Source organism: Homo sapiens, chromosome 5 (assembly GCF_000001405.40).
Source record: "Homo sapiens chromosome 5, GRCh38.p14 Primary Assembly".
Lineage (NCBI taxonomy): Eukaryota > Metazoa > Chordata > Mammalia > Primates > Hominidae > Homo > Homo sapiens.
Window position 1 is genome coordinate 113,650,197 of NC_000005.10, and position 16,460 is coordinate 113,666,656.

Consider the following 16,460-nt stretch of genomic DNA (forward strand, 5'->3'; position numbering starts at 1 on the left):
AGTTGCTACAAAGAGAATAAAATACCTAGGAATCATACTTACAAGGGATGTGAAGGACCTCTACAAGGAGAACTACAAACCACTGCTCGATGAAATAAAAGAGGACACAAACAAATGGAAAAACATTCCATGCTCATGGATAGGAAGAATCAATATTGTGAAAATGGTCATAGTACCCAACGTAATTTATAGATTCAATGCCATCCCCATCAAGCCACCAATGACTTTCTTCATAGTATTGGAAAATCTACTTTGAAGTTCACATGGAACCACAAAAGAGCCTGCATTGCCAAGACAATCCTAAGCCAAAAGAACGAAGCTGGAGGCATCACACTACCTGACTTCAAACTATACTACAAGGCTACAGTAACCAAAACAGCATGGTACTGGTACTAAAACAGATATATAGACCAACGGAACAGAACAGATGCCTCAGAAAAAACACCACACATCTACAACCATCTGATCTTCAACAAACCTGACAAAAAAAGAAATGGGGAAAGGATTTCATATTTAATAAATGGTGCTGGGAAAACTGGCTGCCCATATGTAGAAAGCTAAAACTGGGTCCCTTCCTTATACCTTATACAAAAATTAATTCAAGATGGATTAAAGACTTAAATGTTAGACCTAAAACCATAAAAACCCTAGAAGAAAACCTAGGCAATACCAGTCAGGACATAGTCATGGGCAAGGACTTCATGACTAAAACACCAAAAGCAATGGCAACAAAAGCCAAAATAGACAAATGGGATCTAATTAAACTAAAGAGCTTCTGCACAGCAAAGGAAACTACCATCAGAGTGAACAGGCAACCTACAGAATGGGAGAAAATTTTTGCAATCTACCCATCTGACAAAGGGCTAATGTCCAGAATCTACAAAGAACTTAAACAAATTTACAAGAAAAAAACAACCCCATTGAAAAGTGGGCAAAGGATATGAACAGACACTTCTGTAAAGAAGACATTTATGCAGCCAACAGACACATGAAAAAATGCTCATCATCACTAGTCATCAGAGAAATGCAAATCAAAACTATAATGTGATACCATCTCATACCAGTTAGAATGGCAATCATTAAAAAGTCAGGAAACAACAGATGCTGGAGAGGATTTGGAGAAATAGGAATGCTTTTACACAGTTGGTGGGAGTGTAAATTAGTTTAACCTTTGTGGAAGACATTGTGGCGATTCCTCAGGGATCTAGAACTAGAAATACCATTTGACCCAGCAATCCCATTAAACCCAAAGGATTATAAATCTTGCTACTATAAAGACAAATGAACACGTATGTTTATTGCAGCACTATTCACAATCGCAAAGATTTGGAACCAACCCAAATGTCCATCAATGATAGACTGGATTAAGAAAATGTCACACATATATACCATGGAGTACTATGCAGCCATAAAAAGGATGCGTTCATGCCCTTTGCAGGGACATGGGTGAAGCTGAAAACCATCATTCTGAGCAAACTATCACAAGGACAGAAAACCAAACACCACATGTTCTCACTCATAGGTGGGAATTGGGCAATGAGAACACTTGGACACAGGGTGGGGAACATTACACACTGGGCCTGTTGAGGGTTGGGGGCTGGGGGAATGATAGCATTAGGAGAAATACCTAATGTAAATGACAAGTTGATGAGCAAACAACCATGGCACATGTATACCTATGTAACAAACCTGCACATTGTGCACATATACCCTAGAACTTAAAGTATAATAAAACAAAACAAAAAAACCCACAAAAATTAAAAAAAAAAAAAGAAAAGTGACCTAAAAAGCAAACTGTTGCTAAATGATGGAAATAAGATGAAAAGCATACTATTTTCTGGCATTAATTTATTTATTCTTTGTAGTTTTATCTCCATAGTAAAGGCTTATTGTAACCAAAAGATGGTCCGGCTGCTCTCCACTTGTAGAAAAAAAAGCCAAAATGACAAGAGTGAGGGGTGATAAAAAGAGTGAATTTTATTATCTGTTGCCAGAAGTGGGGAAGAGGCCAGAATCCTTTCTGAAAATTGCCACCTTTCCAATTTCTGAAGAGAGGGCAGGGGTTTTAAGAAGGGGACTTGGAATATGGGGGAGGAAAGGAGGGGCTAGGAGGTGCCAGGTGGCGTGACTCACTCCAATGGCTTATCTTGAATTCTTGTTCCATCTGGTGAAGGGGCCGGCTCCATCGTGGACCTAACTAGGTTACAGATTAATTGCTGTCAATCTTGCTGTTAATTTCTAGCTGGGAGTGAACTCCGCCCTCGAAGTATCTTCAGCTGGGGAGAGAGTTCTGGCGGTGCCTAGGTTGTGTCAGAATTCGGCCCTTGAAGCTTCTAAGGAAATATATGACCAGCTAAGTGGGCATGGTGTGAGTGTAAGAAACATCCAGGTAAATAAATGTGCATATGGCGTGAGAGCATAAGGTGGGTTGAAAGGGAAGGGAGTGGAGTTTTAAAGCACATTCCAAGGCTGTATTTCCGGACAAAAGAAAACACATCCATAGTTTGTCTCAAAGCTATGTTTTGAGACTGGGGAAAAGGAGGAAAGAAAAAAAGTTTTAAAATGCAATTTGAAGCTAAGCTGCTCGGTTACATTAGGTGTACCTGTTATTAAGCGAGTGAGTGTCCAAGTTAACAGCTCATACATTGCATAAGTGATAAAGTCTCTAAGGTTGAATAGGAAAAACTTTTAAAGAAAAAAGGTAGCAGCAATATTTGCATGTAAGAATCAGAAAATGTACGTACTTACAGCTGTTAAGTGTGACTACAACTGAGATGTTACTGGAAAGGGGTCCTGATCCAGACCCCAAGAGAGGGTTCTTGGACCTTAATCAAGAAAGAATTTGGGGTGAATTCATAGAGTAAATCAAAAGCAATTTTATTAGAGAAATAAAGAAGCAAAAGAATGTCTACTCCATAAGCAGAGCAGTGGAATGGTCTGTTCGACTGAGTAGTAATTTCTTGATTATATACTAAACGAGGGGTAGATTATTCATGAGTGTTCCAAGAAAGGGGCAGCTTAGGGCTTCTCACACTTTTAGATCATATAGGGTAACTTCTGGACATTGCCATGGCATTTGTAAACTGTCACAGTACTGATGAGTTTTTTTTTTTTTTTTTTTAGCATGCTAATACCTTATAATTAGTATATAATGAGTAGGGAGGATGACCAGAGTTCACTTTCATCTTGGTTTTGGTGGGTTTTGGCTGGCTTGTTTACCAGATCTTGTTTTATCCGCAGGGTCTTTATGACCTGTACCTTGTGATATCAACCCTGCCAACCTCCTGTCTCATCCTGAGACTAAGAATGCCTAAACTCCCGGGAACGCAGCTCAGTAGGTCTCACCTTGTTTCATCCAGCCCCTATTCAAGATGGAGTTACTCTGGTTCAAACGCCTCTGACAGAGGTAATATTCATTTTTAAAAGCCATGCTTTTCTTTTTTGCCTTTCCATGTATTTTTCTTCTACATCCTGAGGGATTCATATGGCTGGGGATAGAGGTAAAGTTAAAGGATTGTTACAGTGGAAATATAAAGAGAAAGAAAGAATTTGTGTTCAGTTTCTGGTATTTCAAACAGGATTTTGCATTAAGGCAATAAGCTTGCAAGACAGACATTATTGAGGATGGACCATTTTTCTCAGTTTCCTCAAATTTTATACATATCAAGAACCAAACAGGGAGGATTTTGATCAGTATCGTTTCTTCCACAAAGATTAAAAAAAAATACCCCCTTTGATATTGTGAAATATATCTGTGGTCTCTGTCTGATATCCTGAGATACAACTCCTAAAATCCTTGAAATCCCCAGAGTAGTAGGTGTGTTTATGTATGCCGATGAGTTGACTGATGGCTGGAGGCTCCTGGGTGACCTCAGGATGGGGACTGATTGCCATGGGAACCAACTATGTGATGAGAGGTTGGAACTTTCAGTCATACCTACCAGTCAAACCTGAAGAGGGGATTGTGGGAACCCTGATATATAGCTGATAGGTTAGAAGCACAGGTAAAACAACATGAGGCTTACAAGTGTCATCTGAAGTCAGGGGCAGTCTTGTGAGGGCTGAGCCCTCAACCTGTGGGATTCGATGCTATCTCCAGGTAGACAGCATCACAATCTAATTGAATTAGAGGACACCCAGGTGGTGTCCACTGCAGAACTGATTGGTCGGTTGGTGTTGGGGGAACAATCCCCACACATTTGGTCATAGAAGCATTCTGTGTTGTGAAAGTAGAGAGTTGTGGGAGAAAAAACAGTTTGCTTTTCTGCACATCCTCATACACGAAGAATAGAAGAAATGAAATCCTCTTGTCCTGAAAAATTGTAGGATAAGGAAAGAAGAAAGGCAGAGTAGATGGGGGTGAGAGACATCCCAATCCCTCCTCTGTGGGCTAAAAGATTTGAGGATCTGCTGAGGGAAAGGCCAAAGGCCAGGAGCGAGCCCTATCCTCAATTGGCATTTTGGTGTTGGGGCTAGGGGATTATTTGTAAATGTCTCCTGATTTGTGGTGGTGGCCACATCAAATTAAATGGTTGGCTGAGTGGTTTTAGACACAGAAGGGGTGCCTAAGCTTAGCATCCCCCCCCCCACTTTGGTTAACGGGTAGCATAGACACAATCCAGGAAGGACATGAAATTTAACCGAGGCAGTCACTCTAGGCTGTGCCAGTGGAAAGGGTGTCTTTGCAGTGTAGCTGAAGGATCATACAGGCCATGCAGCAGACTTCCAGTAGCCAAGAAAAGCAGTGAGCACTGCCAGGCCTGGATCAGCCAAAGAGACCATTAATGGAAAAACCAAATTATGTACAATGTTTTAAAGAAGTTTTTGCTGAGTCAGTATGAATGATCATGGCTCGGGGAATAGTCTCAAGAGGTCCTGAGGTGCTTGGGTTACAGCTTGGTTTTATACATTTTAGGGAGACATGAGTTACAGGCAAAGACATAAGTCGATACATGGAAGGTACACATTTGGCCCCAAATGGGAGGACATCTCCAAGTATGGAATATTTCCATGCAGTGGCATACAAGTCATAGGTGGGTTTTGGATATTCTTTAGTTAATTGGTTTACAGAGTTAAACTATCATCTGGAAACATGAAGTCAGTAGTAAGGTGTGCTTGATTTAAGAGGTTTATGGGAGCAAAGGCCCTTGTTATGTAGATAAAGCCTCATAGGTATCAGCCCTCAGCGAGAATAGATGGTAAATGTCACTTTTCAGATCTTGAAAGGTGTCAGAGTCTTAAGTAATCTCTTATATATTCAGGAAAGGCCTAAAAACGGAAGCCCTGGCTGTATTAATGGAGATTCTCTACAGGTACAAATTTTCCCTACAAAAGATAACTTTGCAGGCCCATTTCAAAATACATCAGTAAAATGTATTTTGGGGTAAAGTATTTTGATTTGCTTCAGAGTGTGCTGTCAGGTGATGCTATTTTGGAGTCAGGTTGAAAAGTAAGCCGTGTTATACTGGGTTAATAAAAAAACCCATTTACTGGCCAGGTGCAGTGAATCACACCTGTAATCCCAGCACTTTGGGAGGCCAAGGCAGGCGAATCACTTGAGGTCAGGAGTTTAAGACCAGCCTGGCCAACATGGTGAAACCCCGTCTCTACTAAAAATACAAAAATTTGCCGGGCGTGGTGACGCATGCTTGTAATCCCAGCTACTCAGGAGGCTGAGGCAGGAGAATCGCTTGAACCCGTGAGGTACAGGTTGCAGTGAGCTGAGATTGTGCCATTGTACTCCAGCCTGTGTGACAAGAGCAAAACACCATCTCAAAACAAACAACAACAGCAACAAAAACCATTTACCAAGACGTTATGGTTTGTAGGGTGTGACTTCATCCTTACCTTGCATGGCCTTAGGTCTTGTTTATAATTTGGTAGTTTATTGCCATAAAGAGTCTGTTATGTCAGCCTTTTGAGCGCTATTTTAACCTTAATGCTGGTCAATTGTGCATAAACTCCAAAAGGGAAAGGGTATAACGAGGTACTTCCGACCTCCTTTCTTGTCATGGCTGGAAATTCAGTTTTTCAGGTTTCTTGGGGTCTCCTTGGCCAAGAGGAGATCCATGTAGTAGGTTGGGGGCTTAGGATTTTATTTGTTGGTTTTTAAGACCAAATCACAAATTACACCAAGCACTGACTGGTACTGTAACTGGCCAAGGAAGAAGGGACCAGGCTGACTAGGGGGGTTGATGTAGAGGTCAGAGAAGCCAGAGGGCACCACCCAATCCCAGATCCAAGATCCCCTTCTCCACTGCCCCTCACACAACTACATGCCATCTTAGGGCAGGGGTGGTGGGTGGGAGGAGCTTGGAAAGCCTGGGCATGGTCCTAGCCTGGTAAGTCCCAGAAGTCTGGCTGTATCTGTCTCCTGCATGATGCAAGCCAGGGGCTCTGCCTTGCAGCCTTCAAAAGAGATAAGTCAATTCAAGAGAGTTCAGAGTATGGTCTCAGACAGAAAATTACTAGATTGAATTAAAGGGTAAATGTTTTCCCTCTGCTACTAACTGGTGGATACTTGTGCAAATGATCAGAAGAGTTCTACTAAAAAGGTACATTTTCTCTGCCTGTCTGACTGAAGAGTGAGAAATTTACATCCATGCAAGGGCACAGCAAGAAGGCAGCCATCTGCAAGCTAGGAAGAGGCCCCCTCACTGGTTCCTGGCCATGCCAGCATCCTGATCTTGGACCTCCAGCTTCCAGAACTGTGAGAGACAAATGTCTGTTATCTAAGGGACCCAATCTATGGTATTTTGTTGTAACAGCCTGAACTAAGACCCATTTCTTACTCACGAATTTGTCTAAATCTTTGAAAAAATTCACTGGCATGATCACTTAAAGGTAATAGGTTTCCTTAGTTTATTGCCCACATTGTTAAGTAGAAATTTCTTTGTAATAAATTCACCTCTCTCAAACATGTTACCCTTTGTTACTTTATCAGACAAAAGAAACAAGGAAAAATATGTTTTTATTTTTATGATGCATACTTCTCTTTAAAATGAGATGGTTTGAAAGTAACCTGGCAAATGAAATAGATGATTTACAAAAAGGCAGAAGTCAATGTTCTTTCTACCTCAGTAAAGAAATGATGTTTTCTGAAAATGGCTGCGTACTCTCTCTCACTGAAATCCAAAATCCTCTCTCAAGAGTTGAAGTTTGGGGATTGTTGTATCCGTCAATATTTCCTAGCAAGGTTTTTATGCTTTTCTGAGGCATGAGTAGGTGCAGTTCCTAATGTAGTTCTTCTGGTCCTTCCTTTTCATTGGGGGAATTAAGGTAGTAAGCTCCTTGTCATTCAAGTCTGCCGGATGACTAATAGCTTTTAATTGAGTGGTTGTATATTCAGTATACTTCATGGAGAAGAATGAACTCGAAAACCAAAATGTAGGCATTGGCAGACATTTCTCCATGAGTCTCTTGGCTTTCTGCACATCTTGTGAGCAGAAGCACTGAATGACTTTGTTTTGGGCTATCTTTTCAATGATGTTTTATGGCAAACATCCTTGGAAGATAGAGATAGTATTTCCTTCCAGAACAAAGGCAGCCATGCTTACTGTTCATTGTAAAATATTGGGTTCCTGTAACACCCTACTGAGTGTGCAGGTAGCACTTGGCTCTCATTGCTTTGCTTTTTGGTAACTGGGGCTTGGAACTGACCTAAGAAAATGTGAATACTCTGGCAACTACTATTGCTGTGAGTAACCCAGTGTTTTGATTCCGGCCCGGGAGTTTTATGTTTTCTGTTAGGATCCACAAGCTGTGGCAAGCTGAGAGTGAAAGAAGAATAGATTGTCAGAGAAAGTTGGCTTGCAGTTATTGAAAAAGGAAGAAATTGATCCTTAGCAAACAACAGCCAGGTATCTGCCACCATGGCTTACTTTCATATATATTCTCCTTTGCTCCTACTGATTTCCTTGGGTAGCATGCTCTCCTTGTTCAAGCCCTGGTCTTCACTCAAGGCCCAGGAAATCTCTCCAGCCCATGAATGGTGTGGAACCTCTTGTTATCTCATTTTTAAAAAAATGCATTGCATAAAGTAGGCAATAAATATTTGTTGATTTTGACTGCATTAGGGCTTCTCTGTCCTCTGGCCATGAGCACTTATAAGACAGGAAGTATGATATCTGGAACTTATTAAAGGGTTTAGCAAATATTAAAATATAATATAAAAAGTCACATTACCTAGAAAAATATATGTTAATATAAACAATGTTTTTAAATACTCATGACTGATTTCACACTGATATTGTGGGGGAAAAAATCACTCTCAGTAATATAAAACAGGTATAAAAACCCTTCTTTAGGTAAGGACGTGCTATCTTCTATTCTTTTCTGGACTTTGGGATCATGCAATAACTTTTTTCTGCATCTAAGAACTTAAAGAATCAATGTGAGAAGAGATGCATACTGAGAAATACTTTTACCTCAAATATTTCATTAGAATGATGGTACGTTTGATAAAAAATTGATAAGGAGAATGGTCAGAGGTTATGGTTTCAATATCTAGAGCTAATTTAACTACATGTTTGCCTCAAGCTGAACTTACTTTCTTTGCAAAAAGAAACTAGGCATGTTCCTGAGTACACAGTGTCATAGGACCAGTGCTACGTGCTGAGATTCTCTCTACAGCTATTGACCTCATTTGAAAGCATTCCAAACCATCTCTCTTGAAATACAAGAAATTTAAACACTTCTTTTCCATATCCATTACCAAGATTCCTTCAAAACTCCATCTCTTCCTTTTATTCTCTGGGGTTACTTTATAGACCCCAAAACTTTTAAAGTTTAATCATTCCTTTTAAAGTAATTCTTTGGAAATGGCGTGCAATCCAGTGGGTACAAATCTTTACTCAAAGGAATTAAATCCAAGGCAGCTGGTTTTGCCATTGGCAGAGATGTGTACACTGGGAAAGGACTGGCAAATTTGTGGATCTCTGCGGTGAGAGCAGTTCCTAAGTTCTCATAAGCGTGATCAAGGGAAAAACATAAGCAAATATCCAATAAGATTTTTTTTATAAATGACTTTATTTTAATAAAGAAACCATGAGGGAAACATTTAAGAGTTTTAATAAACAGAAAAAGTATATCAAAGAATTTTGAACTTGAAGATAAGTGAAAAGATAAATAAAGAACTGCTATGAAACCTGTGGTTCCCAAAACATTGTTGGAATCACCAGAGGGAAATCCTTAAAAATGACTGAGGCCTGGTTCTCACTCCCATACACTACAATTTAGTTGGCATGGGGTGCCATCTGGGCACTGTGAGTTTCCCAGGTGTTTGTAGTGTGTGAGCAGTTTGGGAACCAACATGCCACAGAGTATTACCTCAACAAGATGCTTCATGCTCTGCGATGAGTTTTTAAGGACATTAATTACCTGTAGTGGGCTGAATGATGGCCCTCAGAAGGATATGTTCACGTTCCATGTTACCTTATTTGGGAAAAGTGCCTTTGCAGAGGAGATTAAATTAAGGATCTTGAGATGAGGAGATAATCCTGGGTTGTCTGGGTGGGTCCTATATCCAATGACAAACATCCTTTTTAGAGGGAGGCAGATGGAGATTAGAGAGAAAAGGAGAAGGCAATAAGAGCTGTAGGACCAAGAAGGCAGAGATTGGAATGATGGACCCACAAGCCGAGCAATCCCCGTAGCCACCCGAAGCTGGAAGAGGCAAGGAGTGGAATCTCTCCTAGAGGCTCTGGAGGGAGTACGGCCCTGCTGACACCTTGATTTGTGACTTCTGGCCTCCAGAACTGTGAAGGAATACATTTCCATTGTTTTAAGCCACCTAGTTTGTGGTGATTTCTTATGGAAGCCCTAGGAAACTAATATATTACCTAATGCTGCTACAGCAGCAGGGCAGATGCTGATATGAAGGACAAAGCTGATAAATGCTAGCTTCTTGCCACAAATGCATCACAGCCACAGGGGAGCTTGGTGATTCAGGCCCAAATGTCTCTGCTGTGGGCAGCTGGGCTGGGGCAGGCCATTGTTTGCTACAGTGAAACCTCCTCTGCCTGCTATATCCTTTATCTTTGTATCATTTAGGACTTCTTCAGTTGCTGTAAAAAAATTCCAACTCATCTCTCTCATACTGGTAAATAGATGATTGACAGAGAGGTCCTAATGGAATGCTCAGTAGCTTAATTAGGGGATCAAACAATGTAAGTGGGATCGCATTTCTTTCCATCTGTCAGCTCTACTCCCTTCACTTGGGCCCCATTCTCAGGCAAGCTCATTCCTTGGGGGACAGAGAGCAGCAGCTCCGGATCTTATGTCCTTGAAACTTTAACTGCTCCATCCCAGAAGTATCAGCAAACCTCTCCTGGTACTTGACTGGCAGTGACAGGGCTAATTGCGAATTCCTGAACCCATGGCTGTGGTCAGGGGAATATCATATATTGACTGACGTAGGCTAGTGTAAAAAGTGCCCATACTTAGATATGTGCTGAGATCTCTGAATGTTTGATTTTGTCTCAAAGCTAAATTTTTATGATTAGGGGTTTTGATTCATTGTAATTTATTCTTACAGATAGAATACTTGTATTTTAGTCTTGCTGGTTTTAATTAGTATTCAGAAACTGTCTTTTGGGCATTTTTCCTTTTTGTTGTGGAATTTTCCTTGGCCACAGGCCCTGCATGGAATGAAATCTGTCCCTGTGTGATGATTAGTTAGATGACAAGCACTGCGTAGTGCCTCAACAAGGCAGAATGGATGCATCTGAATGACCATATTGGGGACCACATGGTTTGGCTTCTAGGTACACATATGTGGGCATTTCCTGTAGAAGCTGCTTTTCCTGAATAATGAGCTATTTGAAACTGAAATATGCTTACCTCTTGTCATCACTGAGATGTTGACATAAGGGTGTCTTTTATTCCAAGTATTCCAAGTAGTTACATGGAAATAAACCCTCCCTTTCTTTTGAGTATTTGGCCTGAAAGTCCAGTTTAACAGCCCATTCCTAGACACTGGGGATATATAAGGTATTTCTTAAGTTGCTTTTTTTCCTCCTCCTGCTCTCCCCTTCCCTTTTAAGTTAAAGAAATTGAATTGCTTGCTCTATAGAGTTTTTCATAGTCTGGATATTGCTGATTATATTCCTGTGGTGCTGTTTAACATCCTTTGTATTTCCTGTAAATGGGTAATGAGTTCTAGAGTTTAATCAGATTCAGATTCAGATTTGATTTGGGGCTTGGGGGAGGTCTACTTCACAGGTGGTATTTTGTTCATCCTTTGGGAAACACCCACAGTCTTGTTGTCTCTCTCTCTTTAAACATTAGCTGTCTTTGATGATCAATGCCTATACCTATTAATTCATTAGTAATTGCAAAATGACATTCCAATTTAATCATAACCCTATATTTTTAATCTATTAAAGTAATGCATGCTTAGACTAATACATAGTCTAAAAAGTCAAATAGTGTAATAGAATATACCAAAAAGCAACATTCCTCTGACCCACCCCAATTATTTCCTATAACAAACAATTTAGTGAAAACAGTAGCATTATTTTACATCTTTACAAATCTTTTAAATGTCTAACTTAATAGAAGGCAGCTGGATTCTCATAGCTTCTCTGCATGTACCCTCTGGAAAACTCCCCTATGTATTAATGAGAATGAAAAACACATATAATATTCTGGTATTATTATAAAAATAGTTTTGATCATGTAAATCCCCAGAAGTGTCCTGGGGACTCTATACTTTAAGAACTGCTGCTCCGGAGAACACATTTTTCTCCTCTTGCTGGTGTAAGACTGGGTTAGTGGTCTGTCTGTGCAAGTTGGGGAAAGGATCTGGGAGCCGAAGTGCTCCTTATGTAGAGGTTCACCCAGTTTTGTTTCAACCTTCCCCCCTCTTTGCTGTACCCTATCCCTTCACCTTGGTATCTGATGTATTCAATTCCCAAGATGTACTAGAGTTCTACAGCATGAATTGCCTTGTTTTTGTTTGCATGCTCTTTTACAAATTCTAAAATTCCAGCTTTTCCCACTCTGCTAAGTAGATGTAGTGATTTTGATTGATTGATCGATTGATTCTTGGTTCAGAAAGGGTCTCACTCTGTCACACAGGCTGGAGTGCAGTGGCATAAACAAGACTCTCTACAGCCTCAAACTCCTGGGCTCAAGCAATCCTTCCACCTCATCCTCCCGAGTAGCTGGGACCACAGGCATGTGCTACCATGACCAGCTAATTTTTGAATTTTTTGTAGAGATGGGGTTTCGCCATATTTCCTAGGCTGGTCTCAATCTCCCAGCCTCAAGCTATCCTCCCACGTCACCCTCCCAAAAGATATAGTGGTTTTAAAACATGTCTGAAAATACTTTGACTTTTCTTCCAATGAAAGGTGGGGGTCTGTGTTCTCTCTTCTTGAATATGGGCTGACCTCAGTGAGTGATTGACCAATAGAGTATAGCGAAACAATAATAAGTGGTGTCCAAAGCTAGATCAGAAAAGATGATGTGCTTTCTGACTGGTTCTCCTGGGACACTCATCTTCTGATACCCGAGGTGCTATGTAAGAAGTCCTAGGCTGCCATGCCCTGACAAAGGCCTAGACTACATAAAAAGATCACATGCAGGTGTTTCAGGAGACAGACCAAGCTGAGGTTCCGGCCAATAGCTAGCTAGCATCAACTGCCAGTTGTATGAGTAACAGAGTCTCCAGATAGTTTTAATACCCACAAGTTGTTGAATCACTCCAGTTTTTGAGTCTTCCTAGCTGAAACCACCAACATTGTGAAGTGACAAGATGTTCCTGCCATGTCCTTTTCAAATTCCTGACTTCCAGAATCTGTGAATATAAAAAATAGTTGTTTTAAGTTGCTACGCCCGATGGTAGTTTGTCACACAATCACAGATCGGCAGGGCAGTCAGTGGTCACTCATTCCTCTGTTCTGCATCTTCTAGAATGCTCTTGTCATTGCTGGTCCATTGTCTTCTGGTTTCTTGCCCTTTTGTCTTTTTAATTTGTTTAGCCCCTTTGTTCCTTTATTTTAGGGATTTTGACAGGTAGTAGAGAAAATACATGCTCACTTTACAGTGTTTCAAAGGGCTGCTTTTCTAAGTGTCTTATATCCCACCGAAGTACATTTGAAGATTGTCTTCATTTTTAATGTAGCATGGTTTTAAATTGGCATCTCTGTGAGTGGGTATGCCTATGTACACGTGAAACATATTTATTTGACCTTTCTGAGGAGAAGTTAGAAGAATGGGCTCATGAAAACAACAGTGTGGGTATTGTCAGCATTGCCCATGGTAGTCCTCTAAAGCTGAGGTGCTCTAGATAAAAACACATGGTTTTCCACACCCTTGGTACTGGGAATGGCGTATTTTTGAGTTATTGTAGAAACAGTTATAGTGCTCAAAATCTCCAACAGGAAGTAATCACTCAATAATGTTAAGTAATTTTGCTTTCTCCATGGATCCCCATACCTGTCAGATAACAAAGGATCAAATCAAATCCAGTAGGGTTTGGTGAGCTCTTTCAGAAGGGTGATGTGTGAGAACATCTTCTAAGCAGTGCTTGAAGGAGATTAGTCTGGAACTGTCTGCTGCCCATCCAAATGAGATTAGGCTGATAGGGCTAATGCATTCTGTTTGATCATATTTCTTTTTTGAAGTTTAGGAAGAGGTAACACCCAAATGGACCCCATACACAGAAGTATTTAACTTGTTCTAGCCAGTATCCAAGGCACTTCTTTGGCTAAAAATTCCATCAAGATTTTGCTTTTCTCTAGAACCATTGAGTATACTACTAAGGAACTAGCACTTCTGTATTAAACGAATAATAATGAGATCCTTTGGAAGAAGCTGCAGGCTGCTGCACATTCCGTGAGACAGGCGAAAAACTGGTGTTCTCTCAAAAGCGCCACCTTCTGGCTGGAGGCCAGCCAACTCAGGACATCACAACAACTCATGACAGAACAAGCCTGCTCCAAGGAAGGAGAAAACAACAGCTAATTTCACTGCCTACAACATCCTGGCTAACCAGTGATCCTGAGTCTGTCCATGTGACAACTTCACTGCTAGCATAATCAGCATTCAAGAAAGCCAGCACTCTAAACATATCTACAACCAAGGACTCTTACAGAGTCTATTTAACTCCCCTGCCACCTCCACCAGAGCAGATGCTGGTATCCACAGCAGGGAGAACTGAAGACAGATCACATCACGGGACTTTTTGGGGACACTTCCCAGCACCAGCGTGGAGCCTTGTAGCCCCACTGGGTGGCTAGACTCAGAAGAGCAATAACAATCACTGCAGTCCAGCTTCCAGGAAGCCCCATCCGTAGGGGAAGGAGGAGTTCATCACATCAAGGGATCACCCTGTGGGACAAAAGAATCTGAACAGCAGCCTATGAGTTCCATATTTTTCCACTGAAATAGTCCACCCAAATAAGAAGGAATCATAAGAGTAATTCTGGTGGTATGACAAAATGAGGTTCTATAGCACTCCAAAAAGACTCCCCAGCAATGGATCCAAACCAAGGAGAAACTCTGAATTGCCAAATAAAAAAATTTAGAAGCTTGATTATTAAGCTACTCAAGGAGATACCAGAGAAAGGTGACAACCAACTTAAATAAATTAAAAAAAAAATCCAGGATATGGATGAAAAATGCTCCAGAGAAATAAATATCATAATGAAAAAAAATCACAACTTCTGGAAATGAAAGACACCCATAGAAAAATACAAAATGCCCTGAAAAGTTTCAACAATAGAATAAAACAAGTAGAAGAAAGAACTTCAGACCTCAAAGACAAGGCCTTTGACTTAACCCAATCAGATAAAGACAAAGAGAAAAGAATAATAAAAAAATGAACAAAGCCTCCAAGAAATTTGAGATTATGTTAAATGACCAAACCTAAGAATAATTGGTGTTCCTGAAGAAGAAGAGATATCTAAAAGTTTGGAAAACATATTTGAGGGAATAAGTAAGGAAAACTTCCCCAGCCTAGAGAGCTAGACATCCAAATATAAGATGCTCAAAGAACACCTGGGAAATTTATTGCAAAAAATCATCACCCAGGCATATAGTCATCAGGTTATCTAAAGTCAAGACAAAGAAAAGAATCTTAAGAGCTGCGAGGCAAAAGCATCAAGTAACCTATAAAGGAAAACCTATCAGATTAACAGCAGATTTCTCAGCAGAAACGCTATAATACAGAAGGGTTTGGGGTCCTATCTTTAGCCTCAAACAAAATAATTGCCAGCCAAAAATTTTGTATCCAGGAGAACTAAGCTTCATAAATGAAGGAGACATAAATCCTTTTTCAGATAAACAAATGCTGAGAGAATTTGGCACTACCAAACCCGCACTACAAGAAATGCTAAAAGGATTTCAATTTTGGAAACAAGACCTCGAAATACACCAAAATAGAACCTCCTTAAAGTATAAATCTCGCAGGGCCTAAAAAACAATAACACAATGAAAAAAAACCAAGGTATTCAGGCAACAACTAGCACAATGGATAAAGTAGTACCTCACATCTCCATACTAACATTGAATGTAAATGGCCTAAATGTTCCACTTAAAAGATACAGAATGGCAGAATGGATAAAAATCCATCAACCAGTATCTGCTGTCTTCAAGAGACTCACTTAATGCATATGGATTCACATAAACTTAAGGTAAAGGGGTAGAAAAATATATTCCAAGCAAATGGAAACCAAAAGAAAGTAGGAATAGTTATTCTTATATCAGACAAAACAGACTTTAAAGCAACAGTAATTAAAAAACACAAAGAGGGACATTATGTAATGATAAAAGGACTAACCCAACAGGAAAATATGACAATCCTAAATATTATGTTTGCACCTAACATGGGTGCTCCCAAATTTATAAAACAATTATTACTAGACATAAGAAATGAGACAGACAGCAATACAGTAATAACGGGGGACTTCTCATGCCTGTAATCCCAGCATTTTGGGAGGTGGAGGCGTGCAGATAACCTGAGGTTAGGAGTTCGAGGCCAGCCTGGCTAACATGGTGAAACCCCATTTCTACTAGAAATACAAAAAATTAGCCAGGTGTGGTAGTGCGTGCCTGTAATCCCAGCTACTCAGGAGGCTGAAAGCAGAAGAATCGCTTGAACCTGGGAGGCGGAGGTTGCAGTGAGCTGAGATCACACCACTGCACTCCAGCTTGGGCAACAAGAGTGAAACTCGGTCTCAAAAAAATAAATAAATAAAATAAAATAATGAGGAACTTCAATACTCCAGTAACAGCACTAGACAGGTCCTCAAAACAGAAAAGTCAACAAAGAAAGAGTGGACTTAAACTATACCCTAGAAGAAATGGACTTAACAAATATTTACAGAATATTATATCCAACAGCTGCAGAATATACATTCTTTTCATCAGCACATGGAACTCTTCGAGATAGACCATATGATATGCCACAAAACACGTCTCAATAAATTTAAGAAAACTGAAATTATATCAAGTAC

At 40.3% G+C, this 16,460-nt stretch overlaps 1 long non-coding RNA gene across 1 annotated transcript in view, besides 1 other annotated feature; it reads left to right on the forward strand.

The window, feature by feature from the left end:
• LOC107986441 (uncharacterized) overlaps positions 1 to 16,460 on the forward strand; it is a 62,022-nt gene that overhangs the window by 16,891 nt on the left and 28,671 nt on the right. The gene's annotated exons all lie outside the window — the stretch shown is intronic.
• Positions 15,418 to 15,520: a silencer, noted in NCBI's record as "fragment chr5:113001311-113001413 (GRCh37/hg19 assembly coordinates)". NCBI's record gives its function as "represses an EF-1alpha promoter that drives an FKBP-Casp9 reporter gene in an ReSE screen in phorbol 12-myristate 13-acetate-treated (for megakaryocytic differentiation) K562 erythroleukemia cells {active_cell/tissue: K562(+PMA)}" and the evidence as "EXISTENCE:reporter gene assay evidence [ECO:0000049][PMID:32094911]".